This window comes from Homo sapiens, chromosome 21 (assembly GCF_000001405.40).
Source record: "Homo sapiens chromosome 21, GRCh38.p14 Primary Assembly".
NCBI lineage: Eukaryota > Metazoa > Chordata > Mammalia > Primates > Hominidae > Homo > Homo sapiens.
Window position 1 is genome coordinate 35881430 of NC_000021.9, and position 19163 is coordinate 35900592.

The window sequence follows — 19163 nt, forward strand, 5'->3', positions numbered from 1 at the left end:
TAGGAAATCTGACAGCGCCAAACACATAGATTTGTTCCTTTTCTATGAGGAACATCTGAGCTCCGAGCCTGGCCCATGGAACACAGGCCATACTGGGAATCAAGGCCCTTTGTTTTGGGGTAAGTGAAAGTTGCCAGTTGAAGACTGTCGGAGGGTGCTAAAAGAAAATGTGATGTAAGCTGCATGCCTTTTGCAAGCAGTTGCAGTTATAATGCTCAGCCTGCCCCCACTAGGCCATGCAGTTCTCCTGTCTAGCCTGCTACCACTGGACTCTCTCCCCTGCACGTAAGTCCCCAGTAAAACCCATGTCTCATTTGCTGGCTCTGGGTCTCTTCTTCAGCCTCTTGCATCTAGTACCACACCCACTGGAGTCGATACGGATTCGACACAACACATGCATACAGAGATTTAAGTCCCACCATGTATAATTCTATCTTATAGCAGTTTCAAGAAGTCTGTACCCCAGGAGCATTGAAGGGGGATCAAATCTTACTAATCGTAGGAAATAGCTTCATCTAAAGAAGAATTTCCCAATTGTTGGAGCTTTTCTTAAAAGGCATGGGCTGCTGACAAAGTAATGTGCTCCCTGTTGCTCAATGCATTCAAGCAACTGGATGCATTCAAGATGGGCTGGATGACCATCTGCCTGGAAGGTCAAAGAGATTTTTACCTTAGTAGGAAGTTGGTGGGAGGACTTTTAAGGAGGCTTCCAATCATGACAGATTGTGATCTTTTGGGTAAAGAACTAAGACTTCACCTGGGTTTGAACCCCATCTCTGCCCCTTACCAGCTGGGTGACCTGGGCAAAGCATTTAACCTCGCTGTCCCAGCTTCTTCCATAGTGAAATGGGGACATGTATCAGTGTCTACCTCATAGGGTGATTGTGAGGATGAAACGAGTTGTTCCATATCAAGGGTCATGGACATTATCAATGTTGAATAAATGTTGGTCACTGTTCTTATGATGGCGTTGTTATTATGGATTGTGACTCCCCATCTTTCATTTAAGGAGATGCCACTTAAATGGGCTCCACAACACAACATTCCTGCAAGCACAGACCAGGCACAAGATACCTGGTATCCTTCTGACAGCTCTTTTTTTTCCTGTATCAAAATGAAGCATAAGATGAATGGGAAAAAGATGAGACACAGACTTTAAAAATCAATATCCTTATAACTATTCTTCAAATATAATCACCAATTATATTAATTATATTAATACTTATACAGAAGTGTAAGTCTCATCTATCTTATTAGATAGAATTCCAATGTGAATCCACCTTCAACCCTTTGAACAGCACTTCTGGTGAGGGAGGGTGGAAATTCACACAGGGGACCCTTCCTGCGTTTCCACCCTGGCTCCCAGATGCCGCATTTTTCAGAGAAGTTTGCCTTGAACTTCCATGCACCTCCTCCTACCCCCTGCAAATTTACACACAGAGCACCTTTGTGAGCCGAAGACTGGGCACGGACAGAGCACAGAGAGGGCTTGTCAAAGTAAACGAGTTGATTCATGTGTAAAAATCCCCCGACTGCGTTTACAGATTAAATTGGAAAAACTTTCAGCTGCTTTTGGTTGAAAATTCCACTCAAATATTTCATTGGATGCCTGTGCCTTCGGCACATGGAGTTCCAGTGCTTGCACAATAGTCTGCACGTGCAAACACAAAGCTCGGTGGTCTGTGAGTGGCATGTGGCTTCAAAAGGTCTGTGTCATCTGATGGCCAATGGTTTCCTGCATATTTGCTGTATAAGCACATCCCTGTCCACGGATGTGCTGAATTAATGATAAGCCCACAAAGTTTAACAAGGTTCAGGTGGAGGGCTCTCGAATTTTTGAACTTCACAGCACTAGATGCTTGAATGAATCTAGCAACAGTAAATTCATTACTTTGTTGGCAGCTTGTGCCTCTTAATAAAGAGCTCCACTGATTAGGAAGAGACAGCTGTAGATCTGCATTGTTCCATGTAACAGCCACCAACCACTGTGGCCTTTGAACATTTAAAATGTGGCTAATCCAAACCAAGATGTGCTGTACAGGACCTGAACTCAGCTCTGGGTCAAGCAGACCCGACAGGTATGTACAGAACTCTCCACCCAAAACAACAGAATATACATTCTTCTCATTGCCACATGGCACTTACTCTAAAATTGATCACATAATCAGAAGTAAAACACTCCTCAGCAAATGCAAACAGAACTAAAATCATAATAGTCTCTCAGATCACAGTGCAATCAAATTAGAACTCAAGATGAAGAAATTCACTCAAAACCACATAACTACATGGAAACTGAACAACCTGCTCCTGAATGACTCCTGGGTAAATAATCAAAGTAAGGCAGAAATCAAGAAGTTCTTGAAAACCAGCACAAGACAAGTTCTGGCCAGGGCAATCAGGCAAAAGAAAGAAATAAGAAGTATTAAAATAGAAAAAGAAGAAGTCAAATTATCTTTGTTTGCAGATGACATGATCTTATATCTAGAAAACCCCATTACCTCAGCCCAAAAGCTTCTTAAGCTGATAAGCAACCTCAGCAAAGTTTCAGGATACAAAATCAATATGCAAAAATCACTAGCATTCTTATACATCAACAACAGGCAAACAGAGAGCCAAATCAGGAATGAACTCCTATTCACAATTGCTACGAATAGAATAAAATACCTAAGAATACAGCTAACAAGGGAAGTGAACCACCTCTTCAAAGACAACTACAAACCACTGCTCAAGGAAATCAGAGAGGACACAAACAAATGGAAAAACATTCCATGCTCATGGATAGGAAGAATCAAGATTGTGAAAATGGCCATACTGCCCAAAGTAATTCAATGCTAGTCCCATTAAACTACCACTGACATTCTCTGCAGAATTAGAAGAAACTATTTTAAAATTCAGATGAAACCAAAAAAGAGCCTGAATAGCCAAGACAATTCTAAGCAAAAACAACAAAGCTGAAGGCATCATGCTACCCAACTTCAAATTATACTACAGTAACCAAAACAGTATAGTACTGGTAGAAACACAGACACATAGACCAATGGAACAGAACTGAGAACTCAGAAATAAGATTGCACACCTACAACCATCTGCCCTTCAACAAACCTGACAGAAACAAGCAATGGGGAAAGGATTCCGTTTAATAAACGGTGCTGGGAGAACTGGCTAGCCATCTGCAGAAAGTTGAAACTGGACTCCTTCTTTACACCACATACAAAAATTAACTCAAGATAGATTAAAGACTTCAATGTAAAACGCCAAACTATGGAAAAACCCTAGAAGAAAATCTAGTCAATACCATTCAGGACATAGGCATGGGCAAAAATTTCATGATGAAAATGCCAAAAACAATTGCACCAAAGCAAAAATTGTCAAATGGGATCTAATTAAACTAAAGAGCTTCTGCACAGCAAAACAAACTATCATCAGTGTAAACAGAAAACCTACAGAATGGGAGAACCATTTTGCAATCCATCCCTCTGACAAAAGTCTAATATCCATGGTCTACAAGGAACTTAAACAAATTTACAAGAAAAAAATACTAAAAAGTGGGCAAAGGACATGAACAGACACTTCTCCGGAGAAGACATACATGTGGCCAAAAAGTGTATGAAAAAAGGCTCAACATCACTGATCAACAGAGAAATGCAAATCAAAACCACAATGAGATACCATCTCATACCAGTCAGAATGGTGATTATTAAAAAGTCTAAAAACAACAGATGCTGGTGAGGTTGTGGAGAAATAGGAATGCTTTCACACTATTGGTGCGAATGCAAATTAGTTCAACCATTGTGGAAGACAGTGTGGCGATTCCTCAAAGATCTGGAGGCAGAAATACCATTGGACCCAGCAGTCTCATTACTGAGTATATACCCAAAGGAATAGAAATCATTCTATTTTAAAAATACACACAAATATATGTTCACTGTGGCACTATTCACAATAGCAAGACATGGAACCAACCCAAATGCCCATCAATGATAAACTGGATATAGAAAATGTGGTACATATACACCATGTATATAATAATGATAAACTGGATAAAGTAATGATAAACTGGATAAAGTAATGATAAACTGGATAAAGAAAATGTGGTACATATACACCATGGAATATACTATGCAGTATATATATACTATGCGGTATATATATATATCATAAAAAGGATCATGCCCTTTGAAGGGACATGGATGGAGCTGGAAGCCATAATTCTAAGTGAAGTAATGCAGGAACAGAAAACAAAACACTGTAAGTTCCCACTTATTATTGTGAGCTGAATGATGAGAACCCATAAACACATGGTGGGGAACAACACACACTGGAGCCTGTTGGGGGTAGGGGGAGGGAGAACATCAGGAAGAATGGCTCAGAATAAACAAATAAATAAATTAGATGTGTTGTAAAATACACACCAAATTTCAAAGACTTAGTACCCCAAAAAAGTCAACTAACTCATTAATAACTTTTTATAGTGATTATATGTTAAAATTTGGCTACAACGGATTAAAACATATTACTAAACTTTTTTTTTACCTTTATCATAGGGCTACTAGAAAAATTTAAATTACCCATATAGCTCACATTATATTTTAATTATATAATCTTAACCCAGAGTATTCATGAAAACGAGAATCTCATAGAGGTAGCACAGGAATCTGCATGGTTAACAAGCATCCAAGTGATTAAGGTCACTGCTATTTGAAAACCCCTGACTCAGCAGTGACCTGAAGCACGAGTCAGGACACTTGGATTCTAAACATCATTCAGTTCTTTTTCTTACCTGGGACTCCATCTCCTCATCAATAGCATGAAGGGCTTGGATTAGACCTGGAAAGTTGTCTGATTTAAGGCTTCCGATTCCATTATCCACTGATTGTCCATCAACCCATAAACCTAGGCCAGCAGATGTCCCCAGAGACTGAATGTACCCAGATGGATACCAGATTCAGGCAGGTGTGACCTTAGGGAGGCTTTCCTGGTTTTTCACATCCTCCGGAGGACTCTGAAAGAATGGTCACCTGGGGGCTTCCCAGAGGAGTACAGCTAACTCCAGGGGAACCACATGGAACGTTGTCTGCATCAACATCCTTATCGCGACCAACTGCCCAAGGACTGCCATGTACAGCACAGCCTCTCGATATGTCCCAGAGCAGACTCACACTCTTAGGCTGCCCTAAAAATGGCCAAGATTCCATGGATCAAACAGCAGAAGAATGCAGCCCGTCCCAAGGAAGGTTACTCGACTCAAGCTACCAACCTATTCAGCCAGAAGAATTCCTTTTCAGAAGCAGATTGGGAAACCAATTTTTTTTCCCCTATGGAACCATCAATTTCACCTTTCCAAGATGACTCTGACGAAAGTTGCTAACCCACTCTTCAGAACCTTTGAAATTCATCTTTCTAATTGAAGGGAGGTTTTCCAGTGGGGAAAAAATGGCTCATTCGAAATAAGAATAAATGTGTTCGGCGTCGGCGTCGCTCCGCGCGGGGGCTCCAGGCCGAAGTCTCGCCGCGGGCTGCGAGTCAAATGCCGGTGGTTAAGGGCGCTCGAGAGGCCTCTACCCGTTTGGCGTTGGCTCTGGCGTCTGGGTCGTTGTGTCCTGACAACCGCTCAGGTAACCGTTTCCTAGACAGCGGGTGCGGCTACTTTAGCCCTGAGCGTGCTCTGCGGCTGCCTGCGGGTCTCAGCTAGTGTCCGACCCCTCTCTTCGCGGACTCCACGCCGAGCAGCCACCCTGAGCCAAGAGCCGGAAGTCCCGGCATTGGCGGCCTGGACAGCCTCGCACCGGCCAATCAAGGAGAACCTCAAGAACAACTTCCTCTATGACTTCCTCTACGGCGGTGTCGGCCTAACAGCTCCACGGGAGTGTGGACGAGGAGCTGAGCAAAAAAATTCCAGAAGTGAGATGAAATGAACATCCTGGCGACATATCATCCAGCAGACAAAGACTATGGTTTATGAAAATAGATGAACCAAGCACTTCTTCCCATCGTATTATAGGTGATGATGAAGATGTATGTAGTGATACAGAGACCACTGAAACCATGGAACGAGATATCTTAGCTAAGAAATTCGCTGCTGCTTGAAGGCTCGGAGCCAAAGTATAGGGTTCAGGAATAAGATAGCAGCAGAGAGGAGGATAGTGACCTCTCACCTGAAGAACAAGAAAAAAAGCGACAATTTGAAATGAAAAGGAAGTTTCACTACAATGAAGGACTCAATATCATCAAACTAGCTAGACAATTTCAAAAGACCTAAATGATGACGAAGATGAAGAAATGTTAGAGACTGTAGATGGAGAAAGCATGAATACGGAAAAATCAAATCAAGGATCTACTGCAAGTGACCAACAGCAAAAGAAATCACGAAGTTCATAGAAGAGATTTGTTCAACGCTGCAATTGTTAGATATAAACCCTGTTACTATAATGCATTGCTTCTTGTTCTCCACAATTCATGACTGAAGTACCAAAATGCATACCAGTTATTATATATTGCCAAGAATTAAATGATAACCTTATAGAGACTGATAATGCCTAAAATATATTCTTGTGCATAGTACTTTACCACAAATACAGTGTAATATCATCAGTCCAAAACTGCATTACTTTTGTAAAAAACACTGGTTAATTTGTATAAGATATCATATAACTTTTTATGCTTTAGAGGTTAAACAATGTCTTTGGGGGGGAACATTTATTGTCATCACTCTAAATGTGGTGGTAGCTCTTATAAAGTTTGTTGTTGTTTTAATCAAAAGCCAACTGAACAGCATATAAAGACTGATAAATATTCAGGCTGAGTAGTATTTTAACGCTTGTCTTCAACTTGATTTGTCTGTTTAATTGAAAAGGGTTGTAAGAGTTACCGTTGCATTTTCTGGCCTACTACCTTTAAAATTCCTGTTGTGTTTCTTTGTATTTACAAGGAAAGGTCTGAACTTTTTCTTGTCAAAACTAGCTTTTTTCCGACAAATAAATTATCAGGTTAAACTTGCACTAATGTCTCCTCTGTTTTTTGTTTTGGTTTTTTCTATTTTATGTTTTTGGTACACTGGGCAGACTTCAGAGCAGCTTTTTTTCAATAAATATTCTAATGTAGCTATCTCAGCATTCCCTTTAAATACCTGTCTTAACCTCCTGCTTTTATTTCTTACCCCTTTCCTCACATAGGCACACAATCCTTTACCTTTTAAAGGATCATTAAGATTGTCACAACGTTAGGAACTCTTTCTCTCACTCTTCTGTCATTTGCTGCAATATTGAAATTCTTATTTTGACCATCAATGCCTATGAATTCTTCTAATACACGAAGCAAATAGATTAAGTAGCAGCAGTACTATAGGCAGGAAATACAGTTTAACTGCTGAATTTCTATACCTCTCTCATTTACAGCTTGCTAATTAAATTGTTATTATCAGTTTTTTTGGCTTAATTAGACTTAAGAAAACAATTAACTGAGGGTTTTTTTGTTTTTTGGGTTTTTTTTTTTTTTTGCATGAGGAGAGAATTGTGTGTAACCAGTGATATGATTATTACTGAAAGTACAGACAAAAGTAAGCCTGGACATTGTTTAATTTAAATACTTTAAATAGTCCCTGCTTTAAGGGAATACGATAATATATACTATGACAAATGTACTTTATTCTTCTAACACAGTAAGAATTACTTGGAATTTTTTCCTGAAATGAAGTGCAGGAAAGCCCTGTGCATCTTGGGTTAGTGATGGTTTCATTTCTAGCCAATTATTTGTATCTTAAGTTTTTGTTAGTACCAAAATAATCTGTTATATGAACAGACTTTTAAAATAATTTCTGTATATTATATATATAAGAAAGCTTTTATTGAACAGCTTATCTTCCACTTGCAAGTTTATGGAAATATCAGTATGTCAAAATAAATAAAAAGTGGGAGAATTATTTGGTATTAGAAGAATGTTTTAATTATTTTGATTTTTTTAATGGGATATAATCAAAGTACTGCTGAACTATAGGTGCAGTATTCTACTAAACATTTCAGCTAGTAATACCACTGATTTAGAAACAAAACTGCTTATCTCTGCCTTCTGAATTTAGAATGTTGAGATTACCTGTTTAAATCTGTTTTGGGGGATGTAGACATTAAGTCTGTACATACATGTGTACATATATTCATGCACCTTCTGATTTTGGTTTTCTTGTTTTTGAGTTCTTAGAAAGTATTCACATACTCTTTTTTTTGGTAGAAGTAGCTGTTGTACAATGAAGAAAAGGATAAGACTTTAAACAGTTGATTCTGTTTGTGTTTTCTCCAAATTATTTTTTGAAATTTACCTTACAAGCAAACTCATTTTCTGGTTTTCAGAAATAGATGATTATTTCAGAGCAGTAAGACATGACAAACAGCATGCCCAGGAGGATTTTAGGTAGTCAAATTCAGCTGAGAAAAAGGTGTTTTCAAGTCATAAGTTGCTCATTGATATGGTATGAACTAGTCAAAATATGAACCATTATAATTCAAGTTAGATTTTCTTCTGGAGAGACAGATTTGAATGTTCAGTTCTAGCCACAGTAGATTTTACTTTCAACTTTTTAATCAATATCACTTTCTGTGCTTAACTCCTTGGTGTTGCCTTGTCCGTTTTCATTAATCAAATTCTGCAGGGATGACTAAAATTTGACATAATGGTATAAATGGATTGTTAAGAATAACTTTAAGTTGAAGATTAAAGCAAGATGCCATTTTCCCCATGACTTCGATTTTGTTTACATTTTTTCCTTTAAGTTAGTATACACTACACATACATAAAATACAATAATATGACAACAAAAGGAATAAATGTTCTTATTTTATAGAATAATAAAATGTCTGATATTGGGATATGACTGGTGGTGTTATATTCATAATTGTTGTAATAAAATTAGTAACTCCTAAAATTAATGGAATACCTGCGAAGCGTAATGAGAAAATTGTAAGAGGCTCCTGCGTGTGCTAAATTTCCAACTAAAGCTGCTTATCCTGTCCCAGCTCCAGCTTCTACTAGTAAAGGGGCAAGCAGAAGTCAAAACGATGGTGAAAAAAGTCAGAAGCTTATATTGTTTATAAGAGAATGCTGTATCTCGGCTCAGTCATTTAGGGAGCTAATCAGTTACCAAGTCCTCTTATTTTAATTGGCATATCCATTAAAAGATTATTACAAATGCATGGGCAGTTATAATGACATAAATTTGATCATTGCCTAATAGGGCTCCTGGTTGACCCAGTTTGGCTCATATTAAGAGATTTATGTCAGTTCCTACTACTCTGGCTCAAGCACCGAATACTATAATGTGCCAATATCTTTGTGTTTGTTGAAAATAATCAATGATTAATCAATATAGGTAGAAGAGTGAAATGGCTGAGGAAGCCTTAATCCGTAATCTAAAGACAGAGGTTGAACCCTCTTTTTACTGTGCCTCAAGGTGAATAGTCACATCAAATTGCAAACTCAAAGATGCAGCTTCAATTCTGCCAGGGCTTCCCCTGCCCTTTTCTCTCAACAGCAGAAGTAGACTGAAGACAGGTGATTAGGGTATTTCACTGTTAATGAAATTTTCTTGAGGTTGGATACTACCAATCTAATGAGGATTTAGTTTAATTAAAATGTTTGATTTGCATTCAATTGATGTAAGATAGAGAGTGTTGCAGTCCTTAATTTTTCAGGAATAAAATATAAAATATTGCTTAGGGCTTTGAAGGCTTTTGGTCTGCCTAACCTAAATTCCTAATCCAATGTTGAGAATACTGGTTTAAGTGGGAAGAAAAAGGCTGATAACAAAATAAGCGAGGGAAGGAAGAATGTTTATTTTATATTTTCAAATTGTCATTTTGTTTTTATGTTATTGGTTTTGGGGAACGTCTTTAATGATGTAGAATAGATTAATCCCATACAAAAACATAAGTTGAGTAGGGCTTTGATGGTGATAAATGTTAGTATAATAACGCTGTTATTTTTTGTTAATTCTTGGCTAATAAGTCATTTGGTAAAAATCGTGTAAGAGGAGGTAGGTCTTTTGGAGATAATAGAAATATAAAGATATGGGAGTTATTAGTGATAACTTACCCCATGTATGTAATAATGATAATGTATGGGAGTTATATTTAAATTGAATAAATATGAATACAGTGATTATTAATATTTTGTAATTAGTAGATGTAACATTATTGTAGAAAGGTTGTAGGTTAGAGTGGACATTATTTAGTCTATATGTGCAATTAATAGGCCAGAATTTTGTATAGTTATGCCTGATTTAGTCTTCCTCATTCTCCTATCAGAATTGATAATATAGCAGTAATTAATATTACATTTGGGTTAATTGATGATACTTGGAATTGAGATTAGTGCCAGTTTTTGTCATATTAATAAGATTATGCCTGATGTTATTGGAATTCCTTGTCTTACTTCTGGGACTCAGAAATGGAATGGAGAAAGCCCACTTTTTATAATTACTGTTATAGTGATTATTACAGATGCTATTGGGTTGGGAATTTTTATGATTGTTCACTACCCAGAATATGATATATCAAGACACCTACTATTAGGACTGTAGATGCAGTTGTGTTAAGAAATATTTAGTAGCTGCTTCTTTGGATCATGAATTTAATTTTTTATTAAAATGAGAATAATGGCTAGTACATTTATTTCTAGTCCTATTCAGATTATTAATCAGTGCAAGCTAAATATTGTAAGTATAGTTCCTGTAAATTTCTGGCTCACGGTTCACATCACTCTCTGTTATATAGTATACAGAGACATACGTATTATATATATATGATATCTTTCTAAAAATAACCAATGAAATTGCTTTAGTAAGCATTGCCATGTCATTTTTGGAGGGAGAAAGATAGGGAGCAAAGAAGGAAATGGGTAAGATGGGCCCCAATCTAAACCTCAGGTGTGCTTCCCACAAAAGGTTCCAGAGAGTCTCTGGATTCCCCACAACCAGAGAGCAACAGCAGGTGGAGTTAGATTGGAGATGAAAGCATTTCAGATAAATGTTTGTTGACTCACATGTAAGGAGAAAATTTACCAGGCTGCCTAAGAGGAAAAGATCTTGGCCCAAACCTTTTCCTTAATCAATGGAAGAATCCCCATTTTCCCCCACTACAAAGAAAGGAGCAAAGAGCCAGCCACGAGGTGGTCAATCTGCACCAGCTCAGACATGAGTGCAAGGACATTCTATGGCCTGGAATCTTCAACGCACATGAAAAGGGCTTTTTCTATCCATAAATGGTAATGATCTACAACAATAGGGCTGTGACACTGGAAGATACCAATTCCTACATCTTGCTTTGCTGAGGACACTCACGGTTTTAGCCTCAGACCTTCCTAGATTACATTTTAGCTTTAGTTCATATTCTCATATTTGTCCTAAATGTCAGCCTCTGATCAAGCTCATTAAACAGAGGCTGGCCCTTCCCACAGGGGGCTTATTATCTCAGCCAGACAATTCTTGCCAGTAGGCAAGAGGAAGAAGACAAGCAAACTTATAAGAGTTGTAAAGAATGGAACTGGGACCCAAATTATGAGCTAAGGCCTTGAGTAAACATATACAGAGGTTCCAGGTAAATGGTGATTCTGTTTACAGTGGAACAGGGCCTTCTTATCCAGGATTTCTCCTCCTAGCTGATCTGATTAGCAGCTCCTTATTCATATCTCCTGCTCCAAAGTTTTCCATTGCCACATATACAGGTAATGGTATTTTGCACAAGAAGATAAGCATGATTCAATAGAGGTAGGAGGGTCTGGTAATCAGCTACAACATCAATTGCAATATATGATCACTAGTAACATTCCCAACAGGTGTGGCCCCACCTCTTCCTCTGCATGGAAAACAATTAATGGTATCTTTTTTGCTATCCTTGGATTGTGACTAAAGTATGAGGTGCTTTCATCATAATTAGAGGTGCTGTGTCACCAGGATCTATGTTAATGAGCAACCAGAACTTCCTGGAAGATAATAGCCCAAGAAGCAACCCACTGTCATCAGTGAAGAAGTGACTCTGGGAAGACGTTGGTGCTTGGTTGGTTTCCTGAGCCCGGCCCAGCCCAATCTGCAATATGTAGAGACCGCAACTGAAAAGGGAGGTTGTTTTCACTAACAATATCCAAGGCACTGAGGAAGGGGTGGCTCTGCTTCAGTGACCTTTCATGAAGTACACACCAGGTGAAAAGAGGAATTTGCTCCACAAAAAACTACACAGCTGTGGCTCCTAAGGGCTCCAAGTATCATCAGCACAAGCAGAGGAGATGGCGCCCAGGGCAGCAGCAGAGTGGCCTGGAGGGCAGGTGTCGCTCACCCCAGGGGTGGCAGATGGTCTCAGGTAGACCTGGATGACAACGGAGGAGTCTCTGCTGGCACCTTCCCAGGCATCAAGGAAATAAAATGGCAGCTGCCACACGGTAACTAAGCCCTGGAACCATTTAGGAGAAAGGTTTCTGAGGGCCAATGTCCCAAAGCAGCTAGAAAAATAAGGTCATCAATACTAGTGTGAACCTCTTTTAAGCCCCATGAGTTGTAAGATCTTAACCACAGTCTACAACTTCAAACTTTTTCTAGGATGTAAAAATTGTGGCCTGGTGGCACGGTGGCTCACGCCTGTCATCCCAACACTTTGGGAGGCTGATGTGGGTGGATCACAAGGTCAGGAAATCGAGACCATCCTGGCCAAAATGGGGAAACCTCGTCTCTACTAAAACACAAAAAATTAGTTGAGTGTGGTGGCACACGCCTGTAATCCCAGCTACTTGGAGGCTGAGGCAGGGGAATCACTTGAACCTGGGAGACAGAGATTGCAGTGAGCCAAGATCATGCCACTGTACTCCAGCCGGGCAACAGAGCAAGACTCCGTCTCAAAAAAAAAAAAAAAAATTGCAGACACACTGAAAGCTTGTGGGTTCCTCCAACGGGCAGCTCAGAGATTCCTTCTTCTCTGATCTCTCTTCAGAATCAGGTTTCACCAGCTTAACCTGAGACTTAAAGGTGCTGAAAAATGAAGGTTTCAGGTGAATAAATGGGACTGCAGAACAGAGATTGGCAGCTATCATTATAACCTAGTGCCAAAGGGGTTAGACCCATGGGTTCCACCTGTCTGGTGAATAATCACCTTCACTAAGAAGATGGTCATCTACCAGTTATGACCTGACATCCTACTCAATGCCTTCGAGTAGGAGAGTATAAAGAGTATAAAGAGGACTAGCTATCACTTCTCAGCTTTTGGCTAAGAACAAGTGAAGGGCACCGGCTTTGGAATTGTAAAGATATGAATTCAAATCCCAGTTCTTCTATTTGCTCATAGTATGAATTTTAACAAATTAGGTGACCTCTCTGCTTCTTGGATGCCTCAGCTATCACACAGAATATATCTAATGGGATATTTTGCAGGACTATTTTTCAGCGTTAAATTAAACATGTCAAGCTTCTAACAGAATGCCTGACATATAGTAGTTGCCTTAAAAAAAAAAAAAAAAAAGTAGCTACTGCTATTAACTAGCCAACTTTCAACAGCTCCCCTTATACATAAAGTGGGCATGAAAGCAAATTAGAGCTGGATCCTACTAATGGGGGGCCAGGAACAGTAAATGTGTTTGGAAAGCCATAGGATTTGAGAGAGAAAATCTCACAGATGGCATGATCCAATTCTATCATTTTTTAGTTATAGAACAGAAGCTAAGTGTCAAAATTAGGCCATGCGGTCAATGAGAGACAGAACAGAACACAAATCCATGCTTGGCTATGGTTATGGGTTGAATTGTATGTTCCAGAATAAGATATGTTGGAGTCCTACCCCCAGAAGCTCCAAATGGCCTTACTTAGTAGGATCTTTACAGAGGTCATCAAGTGAAAAGGAGGTCCTTCGTATCATTCTCATGCCTTTGCATTCTCATAGCTTAGTTCCCACTTATGAATGAGAACATGCGATGTTTGGTTTTCCATTCCCCTGGGGGAAAGGGTGGGAGGGGGTTGAGGGATAAAGGACTACAAATTTAGTTCAGTGTATACTGCTCAGGTGATGGGCTCACCAAAATCTCACAAGTCACCCCCAAAGAACTTACTCTTGAAACTACATACCACCATTTCCCCAAAAACCTATGGAAATAAAAAAATAACAAATAAATAAAAGGAGGTGCTCAGGAAGGGCTCTAATCCAATATGCCTGGTGTCTTTATCAAAAGGGGAAATTTGGACACAGAGACATGCACACAGGGAGGACACCCTGTGAAGACTGGAGTTACACTGCCACAGTCAAGGAATTCCAGCAGGTAGAAGAGAGGTCTGGAGTGGATCTTCCCCTGGCACCTTCACAGGGGACCTGGTCCTGCAGACACCTTGATCTCAGACTGCTGGCCTCCAGAAGTCTGAGCTAATACATTTCTGTGGTTTAGCCACTCTGGTTTTGGTATTTTGTTTAGGCAGCCTTAACAAACTAAAATAACTACTTCCCAGTCCACTAAGCCACCATACCAGTAGTTTTCCAATTCTGTTCCGTTGGCCCCTAGGGTCCCGGGTAGATGTTTAATAAGTGGCTCTCAGGAGAGGGTGTGGGAGACCTGATGTGCAGTTGCTGCCAATTTCCATGGTGTAAACACTCCCCCTATGGCCAATTTCAAGCTCCCAGTGTGTGGTCACTGAATGCAGAGCTGGGAATTGCTGCACACAGTCACTCTCATGACCAGGAGGAGACACCAGGAGGTACCTCAGGGATGGCATGGGGTAAGGGGAGGACCAAAGAAGCAGGACGCCAGCATTGCCACCAGCCCAAACTAAGCACTGTATGTATGAGAGCAACACAACTGAAACTGTAAGCTCCACTGCAGTAGCCCATGACCATCAAAGCAACAAACCCACTTCCTTTTCAACCTGAAGTTTTTTGTATCTGTTACATGCCTAGACCTCTGGAACCCCAGGCCACTGTCTGTAAAGATCCAGCAGTTTTAGAGGTCACTCAGGGGCGCTTAGTGGAGGTCACCCTTCTCATCCCTGGCCTCTGTTTCTTGCTCATTAAAGATCGTGCTGCTTTTCACTCACCTAGAGATGAATTTCAAAAAGAATGTCTTTCTTTCACATTCGGCAGGAGATCAAATTCCCCCTCCTCTCTCAAAAAACACTCTTTAGGAAAAGAATTCCAGAAGAATCTACCCACAGATTCTGAGTCCTTAATCTAGCTATCCAATGTGACACAGAACTCAGACACTGTGAGAAGGTTTTGCTTTTACTGGGCCTGTTCTCCAGGTCTGTGCTTTCTAATTATAAAGTTGATGTCTCAGTCCTTCTTTGATCAGTTCAACTAAGAGGACTTGGTGTTTATGGCAATTGAATTGCTTCTTTGTCACGATGTCAGATTCGTCCCACCGTTCAACTACCTCTAACACACGAATTGTATCAACTAAGCGCATCAAACAGTAATGGTGAAAGGGAGAGGGACTAGTGCAGTGGCTCTCAACTGGGGGCAGTTTTTCCCCCCAGGAGACGTTTGGTGGTGTTTGGACACATTTTTGATGGTCACAGCCAGAGAAAGGGATGCTACTGGCATCTGGTACGTAGAGGCCAGGGTTGCTGCTACCTATTGTACAAGGCATAGAGCAGCCCCACAAGATAAAGAATTATCTAGTCTAACTATCAATAGTGAGAGGTTGAAAAACCCTAAATTCATGAAATGGGGAGCCCAGAACACATTGACTGGGATAGATTTGGTCATTGTCCTATCACCGTACTAAGGTGCTGGCCAGTAAGACGGTCTAAAGATAGAGGCATATCTTATACATATGACACACGAAGAAGAACCTCTATACAACTAAATTATTTTCAATAATAATTATGTAATAATAAGCAACAACCATTATTTTCTTTAATTTTGCAGCAATTTAAAAAGTTAAAAATACATTTCTATTTTAAAAATTTTATTCAAATTCAAGAAAATACTTAATGTATGAACTAAACTTTGCACTTACCAAACAAAAACATTTTACCTTGCAGCTCTCATTGTTTTATTTTAAAATTCATGTTAATCAATGGGGAAAAGATTCCCTATTTAATAAATGGTGCTGGGAGAATTGGCTAGCCATATGCAGAAAATTGAAACTGGATCCCTTCCTTACACCTTATACACAAGTTAACTCAAGATGGATTAAAGACTTAAATGTAAAACCCAAAACTATAAAAACCCTAGAAGAAAATCTAGGCAATACCATTCAGGACATAGGCATGGGCAAAGATTTTTATAATGAAATTGCCAAAAGCAATTGCGACAAAAGCCAAAAGCCGCCCCGTCCGGGAGGGAGGTGGGGGGGTCAGCCCCCCGCCCGGCCAGCTGCCCCATCCGGGAGGTGAGGGGCGCCTCTGCCCGGCCGCCCCTACTGGGAAGTGAGGAGCCCCTCTGCCCGGCCAGCCGCCCCATCCGGGAGGGAGGTGGGGGGGTCAGCCCCCCACCCGGCCAGCCGCCCCGTCCGGGAGGTGAGGGGCGCCTCTGCCCGGCTGCCCCTACTGGGAAGTGAGGAGCCCCTCTGCCTGGCCAGCCGCCCAGTCCGGGAGGGAGGTGGGGGGGTCAGCCCCCCGCCCGGCCAGCCGCCCCGTCCGGGAGGTGAGGGGCGCCTCTGCCCGGCTGCCCCTACTGGGAAGTGAGGAGCCCCTCTGCCCGGCCACCACCCCGTCTGGGAGGTGTACCCAACAGCTCATTGAGAACGGGCCATGATGACAATGGCGGTTTTGTGGAATCGAAAGAGGGGAAAGGTGGGGAAAAGATTGAGAAATCGGATGGTTGCTGTGTCTGTGTAGAAAGAAGTAGACATGGGAGACTTTTTATTTTGTTCTGTACTAAGAAAAATTCTTCTGCCTTGGGATCCTGTTGATCTGTGACCTTACCCCCAACCCTGTGCTCTCTGAAACATGTGCTGTGTCCACTCAGGGTTAAATGGATTAAGGGCGGTGCAAGATGTGCTTTGTTAAACAGATGCTTGAAGGCAGCATGCTCGTTAAGAGTCATCACCACTCCCTAATCTTAAGTACCCAGGGACACAAACACTGCGGAAGGCCGCAGGGTCCTCTGCCTAGGAAAACCAGAGACCTTTGTTCACTTGTTTATCTGCTGACCTTCCCTTCACTATTGTCCTATGACCCTGCCAAATCCCCCTCTGCAAGAAACACCCAAAAATGATCAATAAAAAAATAAATAAAATAAAAAAAAAAATTGACAAATGTGGTCTAATTAAACTAAAAAGCTTCTGCACAGTAAATGAAACTATCATCAGAGTGAACAGAAAACCTACAGAACAGAAGAAAATTTTTGCAATCTATCCATCTGACAAAGGTCTAATATCCAGAATCTACAAGAAACTTAAGAAAATTAACAAGAAAAAAAACCATTAAAAAGTAGACAAATGATATGGACAGACACTTCTCAAAAAAAAAAAAAAAGACAGACATGAGGCCAACAAACATATGAAAAATAGCTCAACATCACTGATCATTAGAGAAATACAAATCAAAACCACAATGAGATGCCATCTCACACCAGTCAGAATGGCGATTATTAGAAAGTCAAGAAACAAAAGATGCTGGTGAGATTGTGGAGAAATAGGAATGCTTTTACACTGTTGGTGGGAATGTAAATTAGAATCAACTATTGTGGAAGACAGTGTGGTGATTCCTCAAAGATCTGGAGGCAGAAATACCACTGGACCCAGCAATCTCCTCACTGGGTATATACCCAAAGGAATGTAAATCATTCTATTATAAAGATACATGTACATGCCGGGTGCGGTTGCTCACGCCTGTAATCCCAGCACTTTGGGAGGCCGAGGCAGGCAGATCACGAGGTCAGGAGATCGAGACAATCCTGGCTAACACGGTGAAACCCCATCTCTACTGAAAATACAAAAAATTAGCCAGGCTTGGTGGCGGATGCCTGTAGTCCCAGCTACTTGGGAGGCTGAGGCAGGAGAATGGCGTGAACCCGGGAAGCGGAGCTTGCAGTGAGCCGAGATCGCACCACTGCTCTCCAGCCTGGGTGACAAAGTGAGACTCTGTCTTAAAAAATAAATAAATAAATAAAGATACATGCACATGTATGTTCATTGCAGCACTATTCACAAGAGCAAAGACATGGAATCAACCCAAATGCCCATCAATGATAGACTGGATAAAGAAAATGTGATACATATACACCACGGAATACTATGCAGACACAAAAAGGAATGAGATCATGTCCTTTGCAGGGATACAGTTAAAGCTGGAAGCCATTATCCTCAGCAAACTAATGCAGGAACAGAAAACCAAACACCACATGTTCTCACTTATAAGTGGGAGCTGAACAATATGGACACAGGAAGGGGAACAACACACATTAGGGCCTGTCAGGGGAGAGTTGGGAGGGGAGAGCATTAGGGAAAAGAGCTAATGCATGCTGAGCTTAATACCTAGGTGATAGGTTGATAGGTGCAGCACACCACCATGGCACATCTTTACCTATGTAACAAACCTGCACATCCTGCACATGTACCCTAGAACTTTAAAAATATATATTATTTAAAAATGAAATAAGATAAAATTCATGTTAAATTTTAAACACAAAAACTCCAAATGTTCACACAGAATAACAGAATTAGAGTAACTCGAGTCTTGTTTCTTCATCTTTACAATCACTGTGCTAATGTTGTTTGTTTGCAATCCACAGTTTAAAGGCAGGAATGTATACTACTATAGGTTTGGAGGCACAAACTAAACCCCAAGTGAGCTCAAATGGTTCTAAATATTTTTGAACTTCATTTCAAAAAGAACACTGAGTCCACAGATTGAGGGGCAGGGAGTGAACTCCCTGTATAACCAAATTGTAATTGTAACTTCCATGTGAAATAGAGCTTATCTATGAGCCTTGGAGTAAAATACCACCATGTTCTCTATGTTCTAGTGGTCACCCAGGCCAGCTGCTTCGACGTGGATAGGGGCTACACAGGACATGAATATCATGAGAAGGTGAGGATCACTGAGGACCATCTTGGAGGCTGGCTACCACATTTAAATTTCAAGATGGTCTTCAGTTTGGAATTCACTGTTGGTCATTAGTTTGCTTAGTGGAGACCTACTATGCGATACCAAGTGAAATCTTTGTTTCTCTGCTTTAATGGAGGGCATAGATAATGCACCAAGA

The 19163-nt window shown here is 40.6% G+C and overlaps 2 pseudogenes across 1 annotated transcript, besides 1 other annotated feature; one reads left to right on the top strand and one right to left on the bottom strand.

Moving 5' to 3' along the window:
* On the top strand, positions 5016–6998 carry PPP1R2P2 (protein phosphatase 1 regulatory inhibitor subunit 2 pseudogene 2; annotated as a pseudogene). Its single transcript, NR_144547.1, has one exon. The product of NR_144547.1 is annotated as a protein phosphatase 1 regulatory inhibitor subunit 2 pseudogene 2 (transcript).
* Positions 5090–5591: an enhancer, noted in NCBI's record as "H3K4me1 hESC enhancer chr21:37258817-37259318 (GRCh37/hg19 assembly coordinates)". NCBI's record gives its function as "activates a minimal SCP1, AML or CMV promoter by ChIP-STARR-seq in primed H9 embryonic stem cells {active_cell/tissue: H9 hESC(primed)}" and the evidence as "EXISTENCE:reporter gene assay evidence [ECO:0000049][PMID:30033119]".
* On the bottom strand, positions 9797–10722 carry MTND2P1 (MT-ND2 pseudogene 1; annotated as a pseudogene).